The 15,845-nt window shown below is 37.1% G+C and overlaps 1 protein-coding gene across 55 annotated transcripts in view; it reads right to left on the reverse strand.

Annotated features, from left to right (window-relative positions):
* Nucleotides 1–15,845, reverse strand: part of PTPRD (protein tyrosine phosphatase receptor type D) — a 2,298,757-nt gene that overhangs the window by 72,526 nt on the left and 2,210,386 nt on the right. For all 55 annotated transcript variants that reach the window (NM_002839.4, XM_017014961.3, XM_006716827.5 and 52 more), the window contains one exon: nt 2,461–2,636. In NM_002839.4, coding sequence (NP_002830.1) covers nt 2,461–2,636 — 176 coding nt within the window. The remainder of the gene's footprint in view (nt 1–2,460; nt 2,637–15,845) is intronic.

Genomic DNA, 15,845 nt, shown 5'->3' on the forward strand with positions numbered 1-15,845 from the left:
AATCCAGGAATGCCTTCTCCTTTCTTCCCGCTACTTTAGGTAAAAGAGCAACTGGATAGGGAAAGGGTGAGATGGGAATGATGGGAGGGAGGAAGACGGAAGAGCAGATGAAATAATATGAGGCTCCAGTGCTTTGTTAAATCTCTCCAGGACATGTGGTCATTTAGTCCCAAGTGTTCTGGACTGGAGAACAAAGGACTTTTGGGCCTTGGGGTCCAGGGCTCATGTGTATTGTCAGATTGGTGGTGGCTGAGACTCCCCAAATGCCTATTGGCTTATGCAGGTCATCACAAATCTGGGTACAGGCTGAACCACCACAGAATAAAAATCACAAGACAGCATTTTAATTGGCTTCCTTAGGCCATTTAACAAAGGAGAAAGCTAACTTGCAAGAGCAAAGAGTAATTAATGAAGGGAGCAAACAGAGGTTCATTTAGTAACTTCCAAATAAGTTCCTCTGGCTGAGGGGAGTTGGGGGAGAAGGTAGCCTGCAACAGAAAGATAAACTGTAGGTATTTAAGTCACAATGCCTTCCGCCAAGAACTGCTCATTACCATCAGATGTTGCAGTGGCAGTGGGGCCAGTTAGAACTAACTTTATTATTAGAAGCAATTAGGGAGAAAAGGGGCAGAATTTCATTTGGTTATTTCAAAACAAGTTTCTGTGCACAGTTTAATGAAGGCCTGCAGTGTCAAGATAAAATGTGTGTTTTACTGAAAACAGCTTTTGCAAATGACTGCTTGTTACCAGCAGTTATCTCCAGGCAGAACAGACTGGGTAGGTTGGATTTACATGCATGCCGTAATATAATAGTTCAGCTGTCTCAGTTTCACAGAAGTGTCAACAGGCAGTATGGCTTGATGGTGAAGCACGTGTGTTCTGGAGCCAGACTGTCTGTCTTCAATTCCTATCCCTGACCTTGGTAGCTGAATGACCTTGGGCAAAGCTTCTGTAATGTTCTGGGCCCCAGTATACTCATATGTAAACTGGAGGTCACAGTAGTGTTTCTTGTAAAGGGCTGTTATGAAATATCAATGCACCTAATATGTTAGACATTATTATAGTTATGAACTATTATATCCAAGATCACTTGGGAGGGGAGTTGTTTTTAAAGAAACTGCTTGATATATAGGAGTTACCTTAAGTACAAATCAGTAACAAATCCATTTACATCTTTTGAATTGGGTTTGCATGTAAAGTATGGCAGATATTTGTCTTCAGTGTCATTTTTATCTTAATTCCCATTTTAGACAATATTTCAACATCTCTATACAATTCAGATGTTTTGAAAAGATCTAATTGCTTTTTAGTTTTGCTAAACCAACCATTTATCACTGCTTTTGATTTCCCACCTTTGAGGTTACAGTTGTGGCTTTTTAATATGTTTCTGTCTGAGCTTTTCCCTTATAAATCTCTTGGGCAGCTTTTAAATTGTCCCTCATATACACGCCCAGGCTTAGAGAAACTTCCATGTGTTGAGCTTAGAAGAACATTTACAGAACCTCAACTTTCACACAGTAAATGGGGAATCAGGCTTTCTTCCTTCTAAATATCCTTTTTGAGACTACTATAACCACAGTAAAAGAGGCCTCTCACTTGTGGTTTCAAATTCTGTCTTGAATGTCCCTATTCTTCAATGAAAGTATCTGCTGTCTTCAATGAAGTTTCAGAGATCCCATCATTAATTTCTCAAGGTTAAAGGTTGATTTTCTTCAGATGCTACAAAATGTACACATGTACTCAGGAATATGGTATACTGCTTACCCATTATTTTTTAGTCCTTCAAACCAACAGCATTTAACTAATGTGCCATGCACCATAATATTGGACCCATACGATGAATAAAACTCTTTTCTTGGACCTTACCAAGCTATGACTCCATTATTAAAATCTACTCATTTTGGAGAAGTTTAAACTAGCAAAACGCCCTCTATGCATTTATGTTTTCTCAGCCGTGTATTCAGCCACATCATTTTTCCAGCTGCCCTGACTTAATTTATACTAATGTGAATAATTTAAGCAAAAGCCTCTTTCACAGAACTTAAGTCTTATGCTGCAGATTTTAAGAAAGAAAAAGTTGAAAATAGTGGAAGTACATATTGGTGGGATTCTCCCCAAAGCCCGTAGGTTCTTGTTCAATGGTGTTTTTGAAAGAGGTTCAAGCAAATATTTATTTTCTCTAATCAAGTTGTCTATTCCTGTGAATATTCCTTTTTTTTTTTTTTTTTTTTACTTTTTAGCAACCACACACATCATAACATGGGAGAATTTCTTTTGTGAAAACACCCAGAGGAGTTTTAAAGAATGGTTTAATTAGAGTTGTTGATGCCCATTCATAATTAGTATCTGTTAGAAAGATAAGCCTTAGGGAAAGGTTAGATTCTGAACAGAATAAAATATGCAACATAGGGACTCTGAGGGAAAATTTTTAAAAGGAAAGAGGTGGATACTTATTCTTACCCTTGATCTTTCTTCTAGTTTTGTCATCATGACAACTGTGGCACTCCGTTGTTCCCATATCATTCTCCAAAAGTCCCCAAATGTTTCGGGGAGAGATCCCTGTGTTGCAATATAGGCATTTTGCTTCCTATACCCATCTATGTAGTTGGCATTCACATAGTCACTTCCTGGGATCCCTGGAAAACAAGGAGTGTTATTCAACCAGGTGAGCACATCACAAGAGGAAACAGCCTGGGACATGACCTAATGGCAGTGCTATCTTACTGTTCCACCTCACACTAGAGAAGTCACAATATATTGAAGGTCGGGTTTCAAGCAAGATTAAAAACAGGTCCTATTAGAACCGTCATGTTAAAAAAAAGTATGCAAAAAAGTGTCAGGTCTTTATAATACGACAAAGAAAAAATACAATAGATGGTCCATAGAATGCCTTTTCCTTCACTGGTTGTTGGTTTTCTCTGTTGCACTGGCAAAAAAAATAGTTTCCAAAGAACAATAAACAATCTGGTAACATTCCTCACCCATGTGCTTCCCAGGCAAAAACTAGATAAAAGAATGCCTGAGTCTGAAAATACAAAATAGAGTGGAACACACCATAATAATGAAAAATTCTTTGTAGATTTAGTTAACAGGAAACTCATATATAAACTCATTTAATATTTACAACAACTCTGCAGTAAGTCCTGTTATGAGTCCTGTCAGGAGAAAACTGAGGTGCAAAGAAGTTAAAGAAACTTGAGCAAGTTGCTCAAGTTGGTGGAATCAGGTTTAATCCTAGGCTACTCGTATGTGTCTTGACCTCTGTAAAGTATTGCTTCTCATTTAAAACTCGTGATTTGTTGTAAGCAGCACATGAACCTCCTGGATTAGGACAGCTGCCCCCTAATTGGATGTCCATCTTCTACTTTTGTCCTCTCCAGTTTGTTCTCCATCTAACATGAGAGCAGTTTTAAGAAATTTATTTCAGACACTGTAACTTCTTCAAACCCAACAATGGCTTCCCCTTATACTTCAAATAAAATCCAAACTCTGAACATCGCTTACAAAGCTCTGCAACTTCCCAAACTCATCTCATTCCACTCACCTCCTTGCCTTTAAAACTCTAGACACTGGTCTGCTTCAATTATTAGAAAACATTTATTTCCCTCCTTAGCTCAATCCACATCCTAGAATATACTCTGTCTCCTTCCCATCATAAAACACCCAGCCGCCATCCCAGAAGGCCTGCCCTGGAGTACCCTGAGACATCAGAACTCCCTTGACAGCCCTTTATACTACTGATTAAGGTTGTAATTATATATTTACTTGTCTGTTAAGTTGCTTTATTGCCTATTTTGACCATGTCTCTTTTATTCACCTTTGCTACCCTAATGACAAAAGAGTAAATAATTTTCCCCAGTTCCAACATGTAATCAGTAGCAGAGATGTAATTTAATGTAGATATTGTGATTTAAAGCCTAGTTTTCCATCAGCACATGCCTTTAAGAGAGACAGAGGCAAATTTGAGCTTCTTCCAAGAAGAGGAGCCACAGTGATTAAGGGAATGAAAGCTACTCCATAAGAGAAAGAATGCATATTATAGCCTAGCAAAGGAAATGGTAGGAATTGGGATAAGAGCTGCCTGTGAGAAGAAGAGAGGTTTAGATTTACTCTGTTGAGTTCCAAGTTTTAAATTCTGAAAGATTTAACTACAGAAACATGAATTTCATCTCAAATACAATAAAGCATTTTCAAATGGTCAGAATCAAAAAGGGAGTTAAGTTTCCTTGGAAGGTCATGAGTTGGCTATCTGTAGGGGAGAACAAGCACTTTATAGGAATGTCAGCATGATATGGGAAGGTACACTAGAACTTGTGCATGATCCCTTCTACCCTGGGAAATATGAATCTTGGAATTACGGGGTAACCATTTTTTTTTTCTTTATAATGAAACATATGTTCCCAAGCTCAAATTGTTATATTTCACTGATTGCCACTTGCAATGACTTTGACTGCTTTTCTGATTCCGGTTGTAAAGTTGATCCTCTCAAGAAAGGTAATGAAAATCAGATGGAAACTACTGCACTCTGAGATGAACACACGGATATGGAATACCACCAGCATTAGTTGAAAAGCCTTTTGAGCAAAACTTGAAATGCATGGTTGGCTGTAACATTATTCATCTATTACAGCTACTCAAGAAGCAGTTGGGGTTTTGGCAGCTCTTTGTTGATAAAGATCCTATTCCTCCCCAACACCAGATTACTGTAGATTCAAATGACGGTTTAAATAAAATTCTCAGGTTACAAACACTGGGACGTGCACACATCTTACATATCCATAGGATTTGGTTCTGAGTCAAGAATGAATCCATCTAACAGGAAAAACCTACTTTCAAAACTTTAATTTAGCAGTTAGCAACATTAAAGAATTGATAAAAAGGATTCTGGCTAAGGGCCTCACTCAGCTGCCAATATACAGAAAACTTTTTTCTAAGAAAACTCAGAATGGAGAAATCTGGGCTAAATGACTCAGAAGATTCATCACCTGGGCCCTGTGCCACCTCCCCCCTTATCAAGGAAAGCAAATGTGTCTGAACAATGCATCTGAGGATGGAGGAGATGCACAGGAGAATCATTCCTAAAGACAGGGAATCAGACCCATCCAACCCTCTTTGGGTAAAAATGTTAATCAGTTATTATGTAATGAATTGGGGTTTTTTGCATACTGCCCAAGTTTGAATAATAAATTCTTTTTGTTTAACAAGGAGGGGGTAGGCTGCTACTGAATAATGATTGCACTTCCCAGGATAAGAATACAAAAATGTTGCCTGAAGACTACTAGGCACCAGGAATCAATACTATCACTAAATGCTTTAAGAATTTAGGAATTGGGCAAAGTGTAGTAATTCATGCCTATAATCCCAACATTTTGAGAGGCTGAGGCAGGAGGATCACTTGAGCCCAGGAGTCTGAGCCAGTCTGAGCAACATGGTGAGACCCTGTCTCTACAAAAAAATAAAAATAAAAAATTAGGCTGGCATGGTGGCTCATGCCTGTAATTCCGACACTTTGGGGAGGCTGAGGCAGGAAGATTTATTGAGAATAGCACATGACAAGTCTGGGCAACATGGCAAAGAGACCCTGTCTCTACAAAACACTAAAAACTTGGCTGGATATGGTCATGCACGCCTGTAGTCCCAGCTACCTGGGAGCCTGAGGTAGGAGGATCATTTGAGTCCAGGAAGTCAAGGCTGCAGTGAGCCATAATTGCACCACCACACTTCATTCCTGGGCGACAGAGCAAGACTCTGTCTCAATAAAAGATAAATAATTAATATTCTGAAAAATACGTAATTGAAAACAAAATGGAATACCTGGTAGAGCAAATTATTAAGCCAATGCTTTATGTCCTGAAAATAATGCTAAGATTCCTCTTATAGTTTGATACCTATTTGTAAGAAGGTAGTACATGGAATGAAAGCCTCCTTCTGGCAAATCTCTTTACGCGCTCTGGTGAAAAGACATTTCAGGTAAGTTCTCTCTCACAGATCCTCTGCAAATGTGGAGATAAGAGAGATGGCTATGTTCTCCAGAAGCTCTAAGATCTAATGAGTCCTGTATTCATAAAACCCAATATAACACACTGTGCAGAAAGATGAAGGAGAAAAAATTTTAGAAAGGATGGTGGTGTGTCCTAAAAATATTAACCCCAGATTGGAAGCTAAAGTTAATCAGCAGTCCATTTCAAGTAGATGAGACTCTGGTTTTTAATGTGACATATTTAGAAAGACTTTTCAACCAACACTGTGAAAATAAACAATATGCTGCTTTCCAAATGTTTTGGTGCCATGAAATGCTTCTTCAGTAGTTCTTGATTAGGATGTTTCTGCTGGGAGGCTGGATCTAACATTCTTCCACTTTTTGGGGGGTGACTTTCTCTAAGTAGTGCATATTTATTTAATTTTCAATTCCCTGCCTTTTCCAAAAAATGATTTGCTTCTGCTAATGCAACATTAATCAGAGTGCACTTCTAATCCAAGAGAAGTGTGTGAGAATTAACTTAATTCCTTTGGGGTTATGAAGGATGGAAATGTAACTTGAAATGTAGTACTGAAAGAGTATAGAATTACTATAAATTAGGTGATTGCTTTTCATTCTTGGAGTCAAGGAGACCTTCCTCCAATACTAGAATAACAGTGCTTGATTTGTTTTTTGGGTTTCCTGTTTGTTTGTTTTTTGGTTGGCGAAGGAGCTATTAAAACAGGAGGAACATGACAAAGATGTTTGCCTTCTGCTCCTCATAAGCAAAATTTTAGAACACATTGGCCCTGCTGCAGGAACTCTCTTGGAGTCAGTTGGTCTTAGTGTCTTTGTTCAAGAACAGCTTACCTCTAAGACTGGTTCTTTCCTAGGAGTCCATGGCTCTACTGCATTTATAAAACTGAGTGGGTTTTCATGATTTCTCATGCATTGTTTCATGTGCATTCTCTAATTAATAACAGTGATGTCAATAGTTGTAACCCCATAAATAATTGTTTAGCCTTCTAATCTTACACATGAGAAACCTAAGGCTAGACCCTCTAACTTCATATTATACCAATATGCTCCATTCCTGGGTTAAAGTGTATTTCCTCAGTTAATGAACTGTTCTTTCTTGTGGCATTTAAAAATATTACTTACATGCTTTATACTGGGTCTTTGTGTTCTGGGCTAACTAAACCTGGCTGTTAATGCAAGCCTGTAAAGCCGACAGAGATTGTGATGAGGTGAATGATTGGTAGAGCTGTGCTTCTGTTGTTTTTCATGCACAACAAGCCATAGCAAACAGCTATTTGAACAGAATTAGGCACGTTTTAGGCTCTCATTTTATTTGCTGTTGATTGCTAGTTACAGTTTTCAGTGGAAAAATGAGCCTGGATACAGACTTTGAATAATGGGGTCATGTGGATTTTTTAAAACCACCAAGAAGAAAAAAAAAAGCAAACAAACACCCAACTTGCTATGGATTTGATTTTTGGGGCCAGAAGATAATTCGATTTGAAAAGATGTCTCTTGTTGAAGGGGTGTTTACAATGATGAGGGGTTTATAATAAAGCCTTAAGTCCTGATATTAAGTGAAAAAGCAGGATGCAAAATAATACATGAATTATTTTGTGAAATCAAGTAATCCTAAGGGGAAGGATCATAATTTTGCATCACATTACACTGTAGGTAAAGTCACGTGTGCATTTTAAAGTCTTGGGACAATAGCAAGCACTTGCTAAGAATTTAGAGAAACTGACCAGGAAACCTGGACTCCTGTCTAGGGCTGCTGGTAGTTTACTCTGTGATCTTTGGCCAGTTACTCAACTTGCCCAGAACTGTAATTGTTTATTTGCTAAACAAGATGTGTTGGACAAACTGATGCCCTCCAGTTCTTTTGAGTTCTAAAATAAGGTGTCTGTCTGTGCTATTCTTAACCTTCTTGGACTCAGACATCTCTGTGAAGTTATTTTAAGATAAATAGAGGCTTTGTGTCTCTCAGATTAGGTAGGAACGCACTCTGATGCTCTTTCAAGCTGATTCCTATTGCTTCTACCTTTGATGTGCTGAGATGAGATTTTTCACTGAGGCTGCTACTTCACATCTTGATTGGAACCTGATGGGGCAAAAAATAAACAAAAAGCAAGAGGAAGTAGTGGTACTAGGTGGTCTGTCCATGGAAAGAAGCTCTCCTTGGACTTTAGCGGGTGATAATAACTAAGAGGCAGTCTTGGAGGGAAGGCAGAATCCCACCGTGGCTCCAGTGGATGCGGCTGCACTACAGAGATGGAGATGGATGTTCAGCTGAGCGTCTTACCCTGCTCCAACTCACAATTTGGCTTCAAATCCCAGGTACTTTTATTTTCTTTAAGTTCTATAAATCCCTAATGAAGTAAGGACTGTGTCAAAAAGAAATTGCTTTTTGGCAAACAAGTTTGTTCTTTGTTGTAAGACAGAAGTACTCAAGACCCGACAGAGCACAAAAGCTACCTTTCATTTGTTAATGTCCCCTCCTCTACTCCAACGCACAAACGAAAAAGCATAACACTATATTGCTGTTAATATAGGTTAAGACCTAGATTGCAATTTTACAACAATGTGGCAAAAATGTTTACTTTGCAGTCTCCAGAAAAACTAGAAAACAGGAAATAGGAAAGCAAAATCTAATAAACATTTACAAGCAAATTGATTAAATTCTAAAGGACACAGGCCTTTCCCCCGACCCTTCACCTGTTCAATGACAGCCACACGTGGCTGCATCAGACCTGGTGACATGAAGGATTCTTTCTGCAACATACCAAATAAAGCAAACATTTATTGCAAAGACACAGTCTATTGTTTGCCAGGGTATCCCCTGGTATAGCTGCAGTCTTTCCAAGTTTCTACAAAACACATAGAATTTTTTTTTTTAAAAGCATGCCTGTTCTGTGGGCATCGTAGCTCAACCCCACAGTGAGCTAATGGAGAAACAGATGATATTCAGAGTATTTGAACCCAACCTGCAACTCCTCATTAATGTATGTCTTCCTCTACTTGATTTTCCATACCCCCACACTGCTGAGGAGGCTGAGTTTTGAGAATGGACACAGGAAAGTAGACGGCTGATTGAACTATCTTTGAATACATTGCAAGATCAGCAACATGAGTTGGGGAATTACCAGCACCTGTGATAGAGGGGCGTGCTTTTTGGTTAGACAGCAACTTGCCTTAAAATACAGTAGACCTTAGGCCACTGAAGCTTAACTTTCAGCCACATCATGGAGTTGTGGTCCAATTAGCTTTATACTAATAAGGAGGCAATTATTATAGAGGTTCATCAAGCAATGAAGTAGTCAACAATCAAGCATGAGACATGACTACAGAAGCTCTATGTGTAGGAAACACTCAGATGCTCAGTCTCCTCATCACTAATATGAATATCATAATCAAAAAGTCCTGGAACCAACACCTCTGTGAGAATTAAATGAATCAATACATCTGAAATTTCCAAAATGTCATATGGATTTTAGTTACTATTATGATTGACGTAAAAATGGAAAAAGTCTGCTTATTCTTAATGCCCTCCTGATAAAAAGTAATTCCAAATCTGGAAGGCCCCTTTCTAGCTTCTACTTTAAGAAAAACTATCAGACAGGATAAAAATAATTCTTTTACAATTTCCCAGCAATCTGCTACCTGTATCTATATTCTAAAAACAGAACCATAGATGATGTAGGTTTATCTACGGCCTCAGAGTAATGAAGTGTAGATTCATTAGAGTAAGCTGCATAGATGTACAATTAAAAAAAACAAAAAAGCTCCAATGAACTGAAGACAATAGAGATAAAAATAAACTCACTCCCAGAGCTTTCTGATTTTACTCTTCGATTAGCTTTCTGAGAACAAGAGTAAAGCAAAAAACAACACAGCCAGCCAGCCCTTAAAAATGCTTTTTCTCTTTTCCGGGTAAGAAACATCAGCAGGTATAGTCTAAGGTAGGAGCTAGGGAATAACAGATATAACAGCACTTGCTTGGCTACATGTAAGAGAAAGATGCCATTTACACAGCTCTAATTAGACAGCTCTTAGAAAGACTGCAAGCAACCTGTGAAACTGCTCCAGGTTTCCCAGGCTAAGTGCTATCTACCTTTCTATTTAAAAGAAATTAAGCTATAAAAATTTGTCTATTCACTGCTACTCAAAAAAAGGAAGTGCTTTTATGTATTTTTTTAAAAAGTACCACGAAATAAAATGATTAAACTTCATCACAGTTGCAAACGATTAACTTGAAAATAGAAAAACTGAAAATGCTGCAGAAACCATGTTATCAGCCTAAATCAATGATTTATGCTCTGAAGAGTGTGAGAAAAATGAACTCAACAAATAATTGGACAGGATTTATTGTTTTTAAATGAGTTTTTTAAGGGATGGGATATACATTCTAACAAATTTCCTTTAGTACCTTAAATAGAATTTCAAGAGCAAGGTAAAACAAACATGAGGTGCCAACAAACTATTCACTAGTGACTGGGAAAGAGAGGGAGAGAAATCCGGAGGGAGAAAAAGGGATCATATTTATTGAGGTAATATGGGAAGGAGCACACAGCAACTATCAAAGGACTTCTTTATTGGGTGAAATAATTGTAATTGTTTTGATGTTAGAACTTCACATGGAACATTTATATTCACTATAACTAACATTCCATTAGAAAATGTTGGATAGACTGTATTAACATATTTTCCTAGGTTTTTTTGGTTTTGTTTTACTTATTGAAAATACATCCAGTTACCAGATATGCCCCTTGCCCAAAAAAAGAAAAGAAAAAGATATTTTACAGCATGGGTACAATGTGAAATTGGAGAATACGTTAGCATGTGCTCACAGCTGTTTCAAATGAATTGCTATAGACTTACCCACAGAACACTCTGCAGAAGAGAGGCTAAGACACAACTGAAACCTAGAGCACTAGTGTGGTGGCAAATGGTGGATAACATTACAGAAGGAATAGCAGTAGTTTCTTGTCTTTATTTATTTATTTTTAACTGGATTTATCTTAGAGGTGGTGATTCCATGTGAGCAGCTTTCTCATCTTAAAGGTGCTAAATTGCCCATCTCACAAATAATCAAGTTATTGTAACATCATCTATATTATTTATGCTTGGATTTTTTTGAATTGCTCCTGTTTTGCAAATCAAACAGCAGATGATATATATTTGAATTTCCATTTAAAAGAATAGATTCTTGCCCCTGTTGAAATCTGTAATGCTCTTATGGGTCTGGTTTCCATTTATCAAGCACCAGTGTTTTCTTTTGCATTACAGAGTACTTCAAATATATGCAGCTTTCTCATTTGGATATTAGTTTTTCCATAGATCACATATCAAAGAAATTTTGTCTGCACTTAAAAGGGCCTATCTGTAGTAGTAATAAAATGCATAACACTAAAGATAATCTTAACAATTCCCAATATTTATTATGTATTTTCTTGGTGCCAGGCACTCTTCTAGGTGCTTTACATATGTTAGTTTATTTAATCCTCCTAGTAATTGTAGGAAGTAGGTACTATTAATAATCCCATTATACAGATGAGGAAAGCAAGGCTCAGCAACTTGTCCGAGCAAGCTCTGCAGAAGCAAGCAGAGCTTCGGATGCGTTATCAGGAAAGAGGTTCCTGAGCAGCATATAGGCCCTCCTAAGAAGGTACTTACTTTTACTTATTAAAGAGATGAAGTGAATAAATATATTTATGTTTTGGAACTTTAAATATATGACCCTTTCTGTAAGAAAAAAATAACACACTGCTCTGATCAGAATGTGTTCCCGTAAATTCATATGTTAAACCTAATCACCACTGTGATAGTACTGAGAGGTGAGGTCTTAGGAAATGCTTAAGTCATCAGGGCAGAGCCCTCATGGGTGGGATTAGGATCCTTATAAAAAAGCTTGAAAGATTAAGTTTGCCCTTTTTCTATCGTTTTGGCCATGTAAGGACACAGCATTCTTTCCCTCAGGGGATGCAGCAAAACAGAGCACCATCTTGGAAGTGGACAGACTGGGCCCTCACCAGAAAGCAAGGCTGCTGGCACCTTGATCTTAGACTTCCCAGACTCTAGAACTACGAGGAATAAATTTGTATGGTTTATAAATTACCCAGTCTGTGGTATTTTGTTATAGCAGCACAAATGGACTAAGACATGGATCCCTATTTTACTAAGCTTTTTAAAAAAAATCAGATTAATAAGCACTAGTGTTAAAGAATGCATATTACATACTAGGTTTATTCTTCATCACTTCTAACCCTCTCATGGATAAAACCATTTAAATCTGTTTTGGTGAGAGTCACATAGTAGCCAATAATCCTATTTAGAATAAGCCCACTAAGCTTTTTTTTTTTTTTTTTCCTTGAAGAAGCTAATCATCTCATACTGTCTAAGATTTAATATTTATTTGCCTACTTATCTTTTGATCTCAGGATTTAGAATCAATGTTCAGAATTCTGGAGATGGTAGAGATGGTCTTACACATCCTTGTTTTATAAGAAAACAACGAAAGACTCTAAGTCATAGGTTCTTCCTAAACTGGAGAATGGGCTTGCAAAGAGATTGTATATGCATGAACTTTCTGAAATTAGTGTACAAATAAAGTATGTAAGTGCTCTATGTTTTCAAGTGGGGTTTAAATGTTCGTGAAATTATCAAAAGGATCCAGCTTCCCCAAAGAGTGAATGTTAACTGCATTAAGTGAAATGCTCAAGGTCACATTGTTGTTTAAACTGAAATTTAGTTTTCAGTTTTCTGTCTCTTTATTCAGTATATTTCCCAATATACCTTAAAACGTGAGATTAAACAAACAAAAAAACACACCTGAAAATCATTTCTGTGTCATTTATTCTTTGGAAAAATTCATTTTGACTTGGAGTCTAAGAACACAACTGAAGATCTCTAGTTCTAAGATTTCTATCCTAAGTGTTTCAAAATGTGTATTTGAAAATTCTTACACAATCTTCCCAGCCAAAAAGGCATCAGTTTTGAATTAGGTTTGATGTACACAGGCAGGGCTATTATGATTTCAAAAGCCGCTCTGGGCCTGCGTAGACTAATGGGAAGAACAGCTGCCTTGAGACTGACATATATTAGTATTTTGAATTTGTCACTTATTAGCTATTGATCATACTTAAGTTTGCTGACTTTTTAAATGCTTCCATTTCCTCATCTGTAAATTCAGATCATGACAACTAGCTTTTGGGGTTGGGCCTCCATAACATGGTGCTCGGCATGTAATAGATAACCAGATAATCATATCTATTATAATGTCTTGTCTTTGTTGTTGAATTGAAAAGCAGAATTTTAATTTTGCTTTATATTTAGACTTGGCTAACACTTTTCTAAAAATCCATGTCAATAGGGCTTTTAAAACAAAATGTTAATTATAATCCTACTAATGGAAACAGTACTGGCAGCAGTGAAGATTAATTATACTTTAGAACAACAACCTCTTTTTTATCCACAACTGCAATAATTAATTTTTGCTAATTAGAAGGCATTATAATAAATAACCTGCCACTAATTGATACCCCTTGGTCAACAAGAAATTAAAGATACATACAACAATATTTAAGGTAAGCAGATCACCTGTATTATCATTAGGTTTACATGTACTTGACATTTGTTCTGCAATCTTATGACTCTGGTCCACCTGAATGATGCATTTGATGATTCCCATATTGTGTCCTTGCCTCAGGTTAGTCATGCCATAAAATAGGAAATGAGATAGGAAATAGGAAATGAAGTTCTAAAACCTAATATTTATGTTATCCATAAGGCTAATGCCAAAAGATAAAATAGATTTTTAGGCAAAAAGATAAGACTGAGCTTTTCCACCCATGCTAAGTGACTTCAGACACTGTCACATCCTGCACCGGTAGGAAAGTGTTATGAGTGATGTGGGAAAGTGGAAGACCCAGACCAGGAATCAGAAGAGCTGGATTCTAGCAAGTTATATTATTTATATTCTGTGTGACTGTGTGACTCTGGGCCAATCCTGTCTGAGCTTCAGTTTTCTCATCTATAAATGTGAATACCTATATATCTAGTAAAATACTCACACTGCCGCTTCACTAGACTGTTGTGTACAGCCAATAAAACAACGGATAAGGAAACTACATAGAGATAACTCTTAGAAGTCAGAAATGAAAGAGATTACCACTAAGAAAACTGATATTCAGAGAAGTCAAGGTCACCTAGCTAGTTAGTGACCCAACCTCAGATTTCCTTGTTCTTCATCTTTTGGTTTGTCCATTTTCTTTTCCTCATAAAAACATACTTTCTGAACAACTTTGGATTCTACAAGTTTAGGCATAATATTATATATTCTGTTTATGCACATCCAAGTATTAGCTTCCAATATCCAAGTATTAGCTTCCATTTGGTCTTTATTTGAAAATATTTACCTTTTCTTTTTTTTTTTTTCCAGATGGGGTCTGGTTCTGTTGCCCAAGCTGGAGTGCAGTGGGACAATCTCAGCTCACTGCAAACTCCACCTCCCAGGCTCAAGCAACCCTCCCACCTCAGCCTCCTGAGTAGCTGGGACTACAGGCACGTACCATCATACTAGCGAGTTTTTTGTAGAAAATATTTATCTTAACTCATTACAATAAATCCTATTGCCCTCTTCTTCAGGAATTACTATTTTCTCTTAAGAACTGCTTAAACATAGAGGGGATGCCAATGGTAATTGGATTTGTCAAAAATTCAATTCTGTTTCCATACTGCTTACCCTATAATTAAACAATTGAAACCATTTTGTAATTAGGACTCTTTTGAATTTATTCTGCATTTTTCCTAGCCTAAATAAAATGACTGTGATTTGGAAAGATGTCACCAAGTGTCACTATTTTCAAAAAGTTCAATAAGCACATTACTGCCCACACACAATTCCTGATTCTTTTAATTTTTCCCTGTTATTCTCTCAGTGGAAGTAGGATATACACTTGCTCTACTAAACAAATATAAAGACAACATCAATCACTGCGGCCACTTCCAGTTTTTGTTGTTCTAATGTCTGTCAGATCACTTTGCAAAATAATGTAAGGAGTAACTAGCACCACTGAGAGAATAGAACAAAAACACCCAAATTAAAACTCTCAACCAAAGTCACTTAAGTTAGTAACATTGGTTGGAACACAAAACAAGCACATTAAGTTTTATAAATTGTGCATGAAGTCACTTAATATTTCAGTATACTAAAAGCTGGCCCTGTATTATCAAAGCTGTCTTTAGAGGAGAAGCCTCAGTTAGTGGTTCTGTGGTTCCAGTTGCCAGTATTTTCTCTTCTGTGTTTAAGATACAGGATGATTGACTGCCCTCAAGAATACCTGCTGGTTAGCGCTTAGTTTAAGATAAAATGCTGTTCACGGTTGTAATTTAGATGAAAGCTCTCTATAGCTCATGAACTTCAATTAAATGCTTCTAACCTTTTGCATAACACTTAACATGTTAGGTCAGCTCTAGATTTAGGGTGTATTTGTGAACACAGCACTATAAAAAGACAGGTTTTCGTGTGATTCAAGTGCTTTTGCTTTTATAATATAAAACCAGCATAGGAACGAAATGTGCATAGTTTTCAACCATCAGAATAAAGATACAAGGAGGTATAGTTTTTATCCCTCAACATACTTTAAAGATGTGGAAAATAACAGGTTAAGAAAAATAATGACAAAGTGAGCAAAAGTACAGCGAAGTGGTAGTTATTGAATGACCTAATTCTTAGTGGAAACAATGCTACAATAGAGCAGAGGCAGACTGACAAGTTCCCCAGGCGAGACCATGCCAAATAGATTCTCAACTTACATTCATTTATTTTATTTCAATAATTTACCTTGCTTTTGCTAATGGAAAAAAGATT

This window comes from Homo sapiens, chromosome 9 (assembly GCF_000001405.40).
Source record: "Homo sapiens chromosome 9, GRCh38.p14 Primary Assembly".
NCBI classification, from domain to species: domain Eukaryota; kingdom Metazoa; phylum Chordata; class Mammalia; order Primates; family Hominidae; genus Homo; species Homo sapiens.